We start from the raw sequence: 13,690 nt of genomic DNA, 5'->3' as shown, positions 1-13,690 counted from the left end.
TTTTCTGCAAAACAGGAAGTCACATTGGGAAAGCTGAATATCCTCCAAAAGTTTAAATTTGGTACGATAATTCTTAGGCCACCATGGTTTAGATAAATCTATTTTTGCCTATCCTTGCATGGAACCCAGTGCAGCTCTCTGCTTGGATGGCAGATGTATGCTTATAATTGCATGTAATCAGCTAAATTGCATGTGCAAGTATGTTACTTCCTTTTAGTAATTTGAAAAGAGTGTGTGTGTGTGTGTGTGTGTGTGTGTGTGTGTGTGTTTGGAGGTGGGGTGGGGGAGTGATACCAACTCTTTTGGATCCTATATATACCTGGTAGAATGGGACTGAAAAAGAAACTGTATGCTGAAAACAGAAGAGAATTTACTTGAAACTGTTTATATATTTGCCACAAGCATTAACAGGAAACACATTAGATACAGTTTTCATTAACTACGGAGTCATTGAACTAGTAGTATTATCAAGCTCACTGGCAAACTAGAAAATTTTTAGTCTCCTTTTTCTCCATCCTCTGTGATGCGAGATGCCAGTGAACTTCACTCTCTTTTTTATCATTTTATTTCCCATTCCTGAATCTCATAGTAGCTTATGGTCATTCTACTGGGAACACCTCCCTACCCCAACCTTTTCATTTTATGGAGGAGGAAACAGAAGTCTAAGAGTAAGTGACAAAACAGGGACAATCCATAGAAAATTGGGCTCCTGAAGTCAGGGAGTTTCACCACTTTGCCCTAGTAGTACTTACCAAAAACCAAATGCCTATATACAGATATTTGGCATATCATATACATTAATCTCTTCCAATCCTTAAAGCAGTCCTAACGTAGCAGCCACTGCTACTCTCCTTTTTCAGATGTGGAAATGGCAATTTTGAGCAATATTACAGAGTTTGTAAATAGAAGAGTCAGGATCTCACATGATCTCCCACAGAGGCAGCCTAGCATGGTGACTAAAAAGGAGGTCTGTGAAGTGTGTTTGAGTACTGGCTTCACCATTCAATAGCTGATGATTTTAGGCCTGTTACTTCACCTTTCTGCATCTTTGTTCCCTCAAAAATGGAGATAATAGTACCTATACGACAGAGCTGTTGTGAAGATTACATAAGATACTCCACGTCACAGTGTCTAGATATAATAAGCACTCAAGTCACATGGACACTTTATATCTCTAATACTTTGGAAATTTCATGAGCGCAAAGGAACACCTGTACCATTTAATTCCATTTATTTATTTATTTATTTATTTACTTATTTATTTTTCGAGACGGAGTCTCACTCTGTCACCCAGGCCAGAGTGCAGTGGCCCGATCTTGGCTCACTGCAAGCTCCGCCTCCCGGGTTCACGCCATTCTCCTGCCTCAGCCTCCCGAGTAGCTGGGACTACAGGCGCCCGCCACCATGCCCGGCTAATTTTTTTGGTATTTTTATAGAGACGGGGTTTCACCGTGTTAGCCAGGATGGTCTCGATCTCCTGACCTCGTGATCCGCCCGCCTCGGCCTCCCAAAGTGCTGGGATTACAGGCATGAGCCACCGCGCCTGACCTCTACCATCTTATTAATAAAGATGCCAGTACTAGATGCTGTGGGCCAGTTAATTTGTATGTATCCTGAAGTATTGCGTCTCTACCAGCCCCTTATTCCAAATTCTGCCCAGTGGTAAACAGGCTCCAGGTGCACACAGGTCTGTGGCAGAAAGTGCGTGTTGTCACCATCTTCCCAACGTGGAACCCAGCATCAAACCCTCACACCTTATGGGAATGTGAAAGCAAAATTGACATAATTTAGAGGAAAAAAATAGCATCATAGCAACCATTTTACAATATTGTCTTTATTTTCACATGAAGAGCCTAGTGCTGTCTTTAAAATACAATTTTTAAGCTAGAGTAGAGGGCGAACATTTCTAGTTTAGACCATGGGTCATGAAAGTTCCTAAAAGTTCACCTAACAGGTAAAGCCATCAGAAGCCCATTTAAATTGTGGAATGAAGATTTCATGGCAAATAAAAATGCTATATCACTTTAATAAAATCATCATGTGCAAGTGAACATGGAAAGAAGAAGGAACTGAATTTGTAAGTCCTTATCCAGCTCTTCTTACTCTGGCTGAAATTGAAAACCTCCAAGAGAAGAGCCTGTTAGCAGCCACGTCATCAATCTGCTGAAGAAGCTGGTGTTAGTGTCGAGATCTTTCTCATATTCTAAGTGGAGTAATGACAGTGAGGCTTCCAGGGCAGCATCTGAATAGGGACAGAGCGAGCAGCTGACAACGTGCTCTTAGAAGGTGGAGGGGTTAGAGAGAGGGAAGAGGACTTCGCCAGGTAAGAAACCAACATGTTTCCCCTTTGGTTCCAAAATCCTCTCCTGGAGCTCCAAATACTGCTTGAGAAAACCTATGGCAACCTGTTTTCTAGATCGAGGGTGTCACACCCTTTAATAATAATTTCTCGAATTGTCCAAAGGAAACTATGGCTGTCTGTTTCCACTGTGCTAAACACCTGGATGAAGGCTGCTGAGAGGGAGTCCCTTGAACAGGCCCCGTGTCCTCATTTCCCCGTAGCCTGGAGGGTCGGTGACTGTGAGTAAACTGGCAAGGGTTCTGAGAGGGCACCGTCCTGGGAGAGAAGCTAAGTTTGGTGTGGAGAATGTTGGAAAATGCTCCCACCACCATATCATCTGGGTGTCTGCAGGGCCTGAGCCTGTGAGATTTGCCCTCTTTTTCCAGATGTATGAGCAAGACAGAGACTGTTAATGTTGAAGGGCCAGTGAATAACCAGATGCATAGCACATCACATTAATGTGGCTCTATTGTTTGCAGTTCCATCTGCAGCCAAAGGCAAGGAACAGTGACTCCTATAGATGCTTATGGGCTCCAGGATTCTAGGATCTCTGATCATTAACTTAGCCCTCTAGTGTCGGTTTTTCTTAGTAGAGAAATGACATCTCTACTCCAAGTACCACTGCATTATCATCATTGTCATCACCACCACCATTGACATAAAAACTATTGAGTTCTTACTATACCAGGCACCAAACCAAGGACTTCAAATGATCATTTCACTAATCTACTGTAACACTTTGAAGTTGGTCCCATCACAATATTGCTATTTTAAATCAATAACCCACAGTTAAGTGAGTTAAGTGACTTCACTAAGGTCACCAGGATAGCGAGTGATAGGTCTAAGACTTGACAAAGCCTGTGATGTTGCTGTTAGGCAATCTGGGACTAATATGAATGAATCAATGAATGGGTAGACAAATAATTATAAAGATCCATTCTCACCTGACTTCCTTTAGTGACTCTTGATAATATCAGGGGATAGTAGTATTTGGTAAGAGAGCTAGGCTTGGGTTTGAATTCCAGATGAGTCACTTTCTAGATGTATGGCCTTAGGCTGGTAATTATATATGTGAACTTAATTTTCTATCTGTAAAATGGAGGATATTAGCCACTCTGTAGATTTGTTATAAATATTCTTGTGTATAATAGATAAAGGGCTTGTTTCATAATTGGTCCTTAATATGGGGTACATACTATTTTCTAACATTTTAAATGTTTATTTTAATTAATCATTGCATGTGACCTAAAGCTATCATTCAGAAAAAGAAAACTGTCAGCTAGCAGTCTCATTTTCTGCCCCCTCACTTCCTACAATTCTTACACCTTCAAAATGTGAGACTCTTCTTCTTCTGTTCTTTACTCCAGGTTTCACAACCCCAAATAATTCTCCACCATGAAAAAGCAAAGCCCGCACACTGGAGCCTCCTTTTATGAGGACAGAGAACTAGACAAGAATAGGCTTTTGTCTGCCATGAGGAAAATGCCTGAGTTTTGAGAGACTGAAAGAAATATTACATTGTTCTTATTCCACAATTTGCAAATAATTATTTCCTTCCAAGCTCACAAACAAGGGATTAAAATAAATACTTTCCCATTTCCCAATAAAATGGCTTGACTTGAGTTTTTGAAAATGTTTTCATTAATCTTTCCTAACTCCTTCACAGCTGTTCTCAGACTAACTCTAGCACTGGTGATGTACATTGCTAGAAAATGAAGGAATTCAGAGTGGAAATGGCCACTCTTGGGGCAGGGTTCAGCTCATGATACATTCTTTCTTCAGGCAAAATTACTATCTCTATATTTTATTTATTTATTAAAATTAAAATAGATATAGAGTTTTGCCAGGTTGCCCAGGCTGGTCTGGAACTCCCGGTCTCAAGCAATCCTCTTGCCTTGGCCTCCCAAAGTGCTGAGATTACAGGCATGAGCCACTGCACCCAGCCCCAAATTTCTATCTCTAATGAGTTTTCTCCATGGTAATTTTCCAGTTCCTACATAAATTCCTAATATTAGATTATGGATGCTTAACAAGTAATGATAAAATATAATCACGGTACCCAAACGTTTTAAACTTGATGGTCTTGAATGTCTAACATTTAACAAGCGTGTGTAAATGCTGTGCGATATATAATAGCCCAGTGAAAAGTTGACTCATTTACAAAGCATGATTGGGTTACACTGCCACACTGACCTTCTTGCTTTGTAAACAGGCCACATTTTCATAGGGTAACATGTAGATAAAATTTCCATTAAAAAATAACCACTTCTAAATGTATGCCATTAACTGTGACTTCTTTATGGGGCCAAGGAAAAGATGGAAATGCAGTATTTTCATTTTCATTTTTCCAGTCTGTTTCTCACAAGGAATATCCCTCCCACACTGCCTGAGTCTAAAGAGAGTAATGATTGTCTTTTGTGGGGGCAAACCTCTGTGGTTAGGGGATTGTGCTGGCAGAGAGGGATAAATCCTACTCCTAGGTGTTGGGACCTGCGCTATGCCTCAAAATAGGGAGGAATCTGAGAAAAGCTGAGACTTACTTCTGACTCTATCCCCTCTGCATCCCAAGCCACCAATCTTCCCTCCAGTATATTTGAGGGCCCCTGGTTCAAGGACTGTGGAGATACAACCAACAGTACCATCTTCTCCAAAACACCATCAACACAGGGCTGGCATAAAAGGGAATCGTCCAAGAGTTGCAAGGCCATGGTCAAGGCTGGTTTAGAATGGAGGAATTCCTTCCATGGCTACCTTTGTCCCCACCCTCAGTCCTTTCTATAAGGGTTTGTTGTCTCATTGCTCACTCTTTCTCTTTTGGACCTTCTCTGACAGCAGTCATTTAAGTCTAGTGTTAATGGATTTCAGAGGCCAGACTGGTCTGATGGCTGGAGGCAGGATGTGCAGAAAGGGGTGAAAGAGCAGGGTTCTTTGTGTCTGGGGGTTGCCATATATTTGCAGCCATGGCTACAGAATTACATTCCTCCCTTCTAGAGCACAGGTCCTTCACTCCTTCATCAGCCTCCCTCCTCACTATCCCTTCTTTCCAGGGATCTGGGGCCCATGTTCATGGTGTCCTCTCCTGGTCTCTGCTGTACCTCTGTCTTGTGAAAGTTCCATCCAAGAGTGGCTGAGGTCAATGCAACCTGGATGGAGGGCTTTTTCAAAGCTTCCCTGGTGATTCTGATGTGCACTAGGGGTTGAGAATCTCTGCTATAAAGGAATCAGAAAGAGGACCCTTGTTTCTTTCAGAGAATCAGCATGAATGCTAGGGAAATTAGACTGCTGGAAATGCCAGAGGAAAGCAGATATGGAGCTAGAACCAAGGGAAAGGACATACTGGGACATCCTGGCTATGGAAAGGAAGCACAGTCATTCACAAAATCTGGTAAGTACAACTAACCACCCTTAGATAATGAAAGGTACACTCAGACAATGTCAACAGGGCAGCTTTGTTGTAACTTTCAATGCATAAAACCACAGTGGTTCATTTACACTTAGGCTCCCGTTGGCCATGTAGCACTATCTCATTGTTATAACTTTAAAATTGGTAAAAACATTCACACTTCTCACTCTCTTGGCATTGCAGTGCTCCAGAATAGTATAAATTACCAATTACCTGGGATAATGGTGAGAATGGGGCAGTGGTTCAGAAATCCAGTGTGCTGAAGGATTGTTTTATTTGCCTTTGCTCCTCTAAGCATTTTCTGACGCATGTTCTGTTCTGGTAAAACATTAATTTTCATAAAAGGCTATTGGGGTCAGCATTAGAAAAATTTCAGCAATACTGAATATTTGTTCCCCAAATTCTTGACAGAATATATGACCTTTATAACCTTGAATGTTCCATCTCACAGTCGTTGTTAAAAACTCAGTTTAAAGAGATAATAAATAGGGCTTACACAGAAGATATGAAGATACATATGTAAATACCCAAAATACAATGTCTGGGCACACTCCAATAGTCCAATCAAAGCAAATCCTTTATTATTGCTCTAGGTGGTGTAAGTGTTATCCCGGATAGCCCTGAATAAAGCTGGGACCTCAGTGAGCTGTACACCTGGACTCATAATGTTCTGGCCTTTTTATTTTTATTTTTTTGAGACAAGATCTTACTCTGTCGTCCAGACTGGAGTGCAGCGGGGTGATCTCGGCTCACTGCAATCTCTGCCTCCCAGGTTCAAGTGATTCTCTCGTGCCTTGGCCTCCTAAATAGCCGGGATATAGGTGCATGCCACCATGCCCTGCTAATTTTTGTATGTTTAGTAGAGATGGGGTTTCACCATATTGGCCAGGTTGGTCTCAAACTCCTGACCTCAAATGATCTGTTTGCCTTGGCCTCCCAAAGTGCTGGGATTATGGGTGTGAACCATTGCGCCCGGCCTGGCTTCTTGTCCAGATGTTTTCATTGTCCTGGGCATTGTACACCCACTGGCCTTCAGAATGGCTCAGGAAACAACCTGTCAGAATTCACTGCTGAATTAATAGAAGCAATGTCTTTTCTGAGGCCCTAATGGAGAAATTTCATAGAGGCTTTAGGGTGAGAGCAGTTGTATTTCTTCTGAGAGTCTAGACTCTTTTGATTTGATGCCAACCAAAATTTATGTTTTCTTCCTTTCTCTGCTGCTAGGAAGTACAGCATTAATTGGTAGCCCATTTTTAGCAACTGTGTAGAACTTTTTCAGTGCATTTAGTTTACTAAAGCTACCTATTGCTTCACTTGATTTTCCTCACTCTTCTTTCTCACTCTAGATTACATCAATTATTATTATTATTTGAAGACAAGGTCTCGCTCTGTCACCCAGGTTGGATGCAGTGACACAAACATAGCTCACTAACAGCCTCAAACTTCTGGGCTAAAGCAATCCCCCCACCTCACCCTCGTGAGTAGCCAGGACTACAGGCATGCACCACCCTACCCAGCTAATTTTTAAAAATTACTTGTAGAGATGGGGTCTCACTATGTTGCCCAGTCTAGTCTCAAACTCTTGGCCTCAAGTGATCCTCCCTCGTGGGGCTCCAAGAGTGGTGGGATTACACGTGTGAGCCACCATACCTGGTCCATCAATTATTATTTTTATCTTATTATACTGTAAGTATTTTTATCTTATTATACTGTAAGTATTTCAATTATCTTATTATACTGCAATCCCCCCACCTCACTCTCCTTAGTAGCCAGGACTACAGGCATGCACCACCCTGCCCAGCTAATTTTAAAAAATTACTTGTGGAGATGGTGTCTCACTACGTTGCCCAGTCTAGTCTCAAACTCTTGACCTCAAGTGATCCTCCCTCATGGGACTCCCAAGAGTGGTAGGATTACATGTGTGAGCCACCATACCTGGTCCATCAATTATTATTTTTATCATATTACACTGTAAGTATTTAAAATTTAAAAGAAGAAACTTGTAAGAAGTAGGAGGAAACCAAACAAGCAAACAAATAAATGCAACTGGACTAGAAATACATTTAAATAATTATGTTGCAGATTTTATGCCCTCATTTTCTCTGTAGTGAAAAGAGCATATTACCAAGAATTCTAGTCTTGGTTCCATCATTGGTTAGCTGTGTAACTTGAACAAATCACTTTATTACCTCCAGGTCTTCTGTTTCTTCAGCTATAGAATGAAGAAGTGGAAATACATGATGAAAGTTACTTTCAGTAGTCACAACCTTAGATTTATAAAGGAATTTGCATTCTCTGAGCAGATATAATCAACTCACAAAGGCTCTGAATAGCAAATGGAAGCTAGCTTATGATCCTCCATTATTCCGTGGTTAAGCCAGAGTCTGTAATTCACAAATAAATATCTGACAGTTAATTGCCTTGAGCCAGCTTGGCACCTTCTAGGGAGTTTATATTCTAACAGATATCTCTGCAATTCATCCTTCTCCATATCCTAAGGAGAGTAGGCATGCAGTAAGCATTTACTAAATAGATAGAAGGATGAATGAGTGGATGAATACATTCTTGAATAGCTTTTCAAATTTAGGATTCTTTTGTAGGGTCTCAGAGATCTCTTTTTACAGAGGCTAGGAGTATTGGTAACTTTTTTTCTCTTCTTTTAACTCTCCTGATAGAACATGCATTTCCATGTTAGCTTTCAAATTTCACCTGGAGTGGGAATCAAAACAAATGAGATGAGGTCAAATGCTTGGTTGTTACCATCAAAACAAGTAAGTAAAAATAAACACTGTGCAGTTCTGAGGTGGATGCCTAATCTGGAACCTTGGACAATGGGGACAAACCTTTTGAGTAGGGAGAGATTCACATACTCTGCTAGCTGCTTCACAAAAGTCTCTCCTGATCTATGTGCAATTAAGTCAAATGTTGGCTTATTTAGAAAAAAACCTGCCCCAAACAGAGGCTTCATTTTTAAGAAAACCAATTGCATGCACTTTAATAAGATTTCATTTATTACTTTACTCTTTGGGTCAGATATTGTGTTGTCAGAGTCTCACTCTATTGCCCAGGCTGGAGTGCAGTGGTGTGATCTCAGCTCACTGCAACCTCTGACTCCTGAGTTCAAGTGATTCTCATCCCTCAGCCTCTCTAGTAGCTGGGATGACAGGCATGTGCCACCATGCCTGGCTAATGTTTTGTATTTTTAGTGGAGACAGAGGTTTCACCATGTTGGTCAGGCTGGTCTCGAACTCCTGGACTCAAATGATCTGCCCACCTTGGCCTCCCAAAGTGCTGGGTTTATAGGCATGAGCCACTGTGGTCAGCCTTCAGAAGCACTTTTTCTATGTGACAGCTGAAACATTATTTTATGCCATTGCAAAGCTATGCATAGCTCTCATGTTAAAGGAAACCAGTTAAAGAAATACTGACTAAATACAATTTAGCTTTCTTTGGGAAAAAAAAAATTACCAATCTTTATTTTGCTGTTAACGAGATTATATCTGGCTCTGTGGTAAGCAGTTTCAACTTGTTTCTGGAAAGAGTTGAAGTATAAATACACTCAATAAATAAAATGATGTGATGGGTTTAGCTTGTCCTCCAACTTTCCTGCATGGGAAAAATTGTCCAAATTGTTAAAAAGTAATAAAGCTTCAGATGATAATCAATGATAGTTATACCATTTTAAAAAATGGTCATACATAATGGTCTATTGTACTGAGAAGGGAAACCTTGGGCTGAACACCATATTTCCTAATCAACTGTTGGCTTGCTCAAGGCAATTAACTCTTGAGGGTACCCTTTTCCCATCACTTAAGAAGAGCTGTGATATGATGTATAGATCTAGTTTGTGTGGCATAGATGCTTTAAGAAAAAATACTCTGTGTGCAGAAATTGATAGTGATTTACTATTTTCAATATTAATATCAAGCTCCCTGGGTTAATGATGTAATAATCATGTTTTTATTTTTGGATAGGAACATGTCAGTTAAAGAAGGATAAATTCTTGGCAAGTATGCCATCACCTTCCCCTAGTGTGCCTATGGCAGACATGACTCTGCCCTTCTTTTTCAATAGCTGCGCTGTGGCTTTAGGATCATTTGAACCACTGTTGCAGTGGATTGTAGTGCTCATGTAAGATGAAGCCTTACTTGCCATGCATTTTGAAGTGGACAAAATATACGAGAGGAGGGTCCATGGAATGTTTTAAATAGGTGTATCTCAACACTGGATTCTAAATGAAGAGTAAAACTGGGTTTTTTGGACTCCAAGTTTCCAAAGGAAATACAGAAGGGAGTATCCTTGGGTTATTGTTGTCTTTTCTGCTCCATTTTTTAATGAGAAAATGGGCCTCTGTTCCTATGGATATGCTGGGGGTGGGTGTATCAAGGGGAAGCTAAGCAAGTGGGGCTCCAACGTCTTTACCTTTGTTTCAACCACTGTATAAATGTGTACAGTAACACCATTCCACAGAAGTTTGTTTTTTCCTTGGAAATAATGCTAACAATGGTGCAGCAGAAAATCCAGAAGCCCTGGAAACTGCCCCAGTGACTACATCTCCATCAGTGAGGTGGGGCAGTTGGCTTTCTATATGGGAAAAAGTAAAATCCTCTCCTAATTTACCTCCTTACAAAAAACCAACAGATCCACAGCACTGAACAATCTACCATTCCCCACTGATGTCTCATGACCTCCACTTTTGTTTACCAGGGCCCTCTATGGGTCCATGTCTGAGATCTCTATCCTAGTCCAGCATCCCTGGGACAATACATACTACCTTAATGGCTGCAACTTGGTAAGTCTAGCTGTCTATTCATAGAAAGTTTGCCTAACCTTTATTTTATTTTTTAAATTGTCTTGGCTATTCTGGGACTTTTGTTCTTCCATATGGAGTTTCAAATGAGTTTATCAAGTCCTATGAATAATCCTGTTGGGATTTTTATTAGATTTCCTTTGAATTTGCAGATGAGAAATTAATTTGACTTTTTTTTTTTTATTTTTTTGAGACAGAGTCTTGCTCTGTCATCCAGGCTGGAGCACAGTGGGGCGATCTTGGCTTACTGCAATCTCTGCCTCCCAAGTTCAAGCGATTCTCCTGCTTCAGCCTCCCAAGTATCTGGGATTACAGGCACCTGCCACCATGCCCGGCTATTTTTTGTGCTTTTAGTAGAGATGAAGTTTCACCATGTTGCCAGGCTGGTCTCGAACTCCTGACCTCAGGTGATCTGCCCACCTCGGCCTCCCAAAGTGCTGGGATTGCAGGCATACTTCAGAGTTTCTTTTATGTCTTTCAACAACATTCTCTTAGGAAAATTTCAAAGGTTAGGATGATCTTCACTATAGGTAAATTACTTGCTGAATGATACCCCGAGCTGTTCTAACCAAACTGTAGGTGACCTGGAATTTTTCAGCGCTATTCTAAGCTGTTTCCACATGACAGTGTTCTCCTCACCACCTCCCCTGTGCAATTGGTCCTAGTCACTCCAGCCGGATTAAGTTTGGTTGCTCACAATGTGAATTTGTTGGATAATGGACCTTTTTGGCTGTCTTCCCTTTTGTCACTCACTTCCCTACTCTCTTACTCATGTTTCCTGGGATCACCTCCTAATAAACCACATGTACTTTCATCCTTCCCCTAGGATCTGCTTCTGGGGAAACCATGACAAGTGTTAAATAGATTTCCAAACCAAATGTAATAAAATCTAATTCTCAGAGCCTAGAAGCAAAATCTCCATTAAGAGTAATCTCTGCGTAGAGTCATTCCTGGGCAGAGGATAGGCTTTGGGGTCTGGTAGATGCTTAAATTCCAGATCCTCTACTCACACTGCATGGCCTCGATTCACCTCTGCCTTCCACCTATGTGAAAATAGTAATGTAAGCCTCATAATATTGTTCTGATCATTAAATGATGTATAAAGTCTTATATTCATTCAACAAATATTTATCCAGACATAATATACATTAGGAACATAGTCAAGTAACTGGCACAGACTGTTGTACAATAAATGGAAACTATGAGATTGTGTATACTAATGAATGAGAAGCAGAACAAACTTTGGGGGAACATGAGACAACAGCAATATTTGGTAGTAGAGGGACACACATCTGCCAGAGAAGAGGTCTATTACCTCTTCTTCTCTCTGCAGGTGCATGCACCAAGGCTTCTCATACTCTGTATCATGAGGTGAGCCTCTAAGGGCAGAGGCTGGGTTCAAGTACCCAGTGTGTTAACTTGATCTTGTTAACTTCTCTAAGACCATCTGTGGGATGGTAATCATGATATCTACCTAAAAGATTATGGTGAAGAGTCAATGATGTAATGGACCAAAAGGCCAGGCTCCAGCAATGTTACTTCTTTTAATCTGTCTTCCTGAAGACCTCATGGTTGCTGACGACTAAGTAAATTGCATCATTTTCTTCTGAAATGACAATGTGTTGCATTCAAATGTTGTTTAGACAAGTCTGATTGGAAGACACTGCTCTGTCCAAGTCTTCTCCAGAATTAACAGTAGTTAAAACAATATTGCTTTTTATACATTTGATATAGGCAACAAACAGGACCCTGCTAACCATTGTCTAAGAAATTTTCTAGAATGGGGCTTTGAAGAAAACATACCAAGGTGAAGTTAGAAGTCTGGGGAAATGTAACAATTTTATTTAGTTTTAATAGACAATCTTAAGAAGGAGGCAAGTCAGTGTGGAAGAAAGCATGGGTTTTGGTCTCAGACTTGATTTTGATTCTAGTTCTTCCATTTTCTAGTTACATGTGATCTTGGGCAAAATGATTCCTCTTTGACCTTCAATTTCTTCTATAAAATGTAATCCTTATTTTGTGGTGTTATTGATAGGATTAAATCAGGTAATTAGGAAAAATCACTGGTATAAAATACTCATTTTAATGCCTGGCACCTAATAAATGCTCAAAACAATAAATTTCTACTATGTAGCTACTTGCATCACTCTGAAGTATTTATCTTCGTTTTGTTTGTTGATTTGTTTGTTTGTTTTTACCTAGGGTTGTTAGCCCAAGGCCTGAAATATCTGTGAAAAGTCTGTGTCTTACTTCCAATACATGTGGTGCTCAAGTTTTAAAAGTTTAACTTTCAAATGACCTGTATTTTTGTATACTATACATTTAAATCCCTAAATTTCCTTTCCTGTGTCAAATTCAGACTTGTGCCTTAGCTTATCAAAGAACCATTTCAAGTTTTCTTTATGTGGTGCTGCTTGCCAATCAGATTTCACGGCAATGCCAATGTTTTCTGCAAAGCAGCGTTTATTTGTCAATTATCTGAGTAGCTTATTGTATTTTTGTTGTTATTTTATAAAAATGAATGGAAAATGAAAAAATGATAGATAGGATTCTAGTAATAAGCACAGATTTAAGAAGGAAACCATTCTACATGTTGAAAGCAACAGATCTTTAACTTCAGCTTGATGTTCTTTTGACATAAGCTAGTTAACTGTGTTTTCTGGTAAAGAAAAATTAAACAGAACTCTGGGATAAGTAATTGATGCTTGAAGCTTGTACATAAAAGGGAAGATGTAACTGGGAATTTTATAATGCTTTTTCAGTTTCTCTGAATAGAAACTCCCCTACAACATGTATGTCTACCCTTTAACATTCACGTACCAGATTACATCATAATTATTAGTTATGTATTACATATATCAAAGGAAATGGCCTGCGTTTTTTTTTTAAATCTAATTGAAAATGTGAAGTTTCTTTGTTTTTTTATGGAATTGTAACAACTCACATATGACATCAGCCAAATCAAAGTTCTGATTGGCAATTTCCAGTTTTGATTAATAAAAATTATAACATTTATTGTTAATTAACTATTTACTTAGTAGGCTAAGTCCTTCAAGGCATGTGCTCCACCAGGGAAAAAAAATTGCACAAGGAGTTTGTAAAGAAAATACTAAGAAAAGGCTAGAAACCAAATAGG

The 13,690-nt window shown here is 39.9% G+C and overlaps 1 protein-coding gene and 1 long non-coding RNA gene across 12 annotated transcripts in view; both read right to left on the bottom strand.

The window, feature by feature from the left end:
- The window catches only part of ANKFN1 (ankyrin repeat and fibronectin type III domain containing 1), a 470,940-nt gene that overhangs the window by 256,839 nt on the left and 200,411 nt on the right, over positions 1-13,690 (bottom strand). The gene's annotated exons all lie outside the window — the stretch shown is intronic.
- Positions 1,819-6,447, bottom strand: LOC124904035 (uncharacterized). The gene is made up of 2 exons (XR_007065856.1): positions 5,958-6,447; positions 1,819-2,242 (listed from the first exon to the last, which is right to left on the bottom strand). It is a non-coding gene; the product is annotated as an uncharacterized LOC124904035 (long non-coding RNA).

This window comes from Homo sapiens, chromosome 17 (assembly GCF_000001405.40).
Source record: "Homo sapiens chromosome 17, GRCh38.p14 Primary Assembly".
Lineage (NCBI taxonomy): Eukaryota > Metazoa > Chordata > Mammalia > Primates > Hominidae > Homo > Homo sapiens.
The sequence above is the reverse complement of the archived record's forward strand: the minus strand, read 5'-3'. Positions and strand labels throughout refer to the sequence as shown.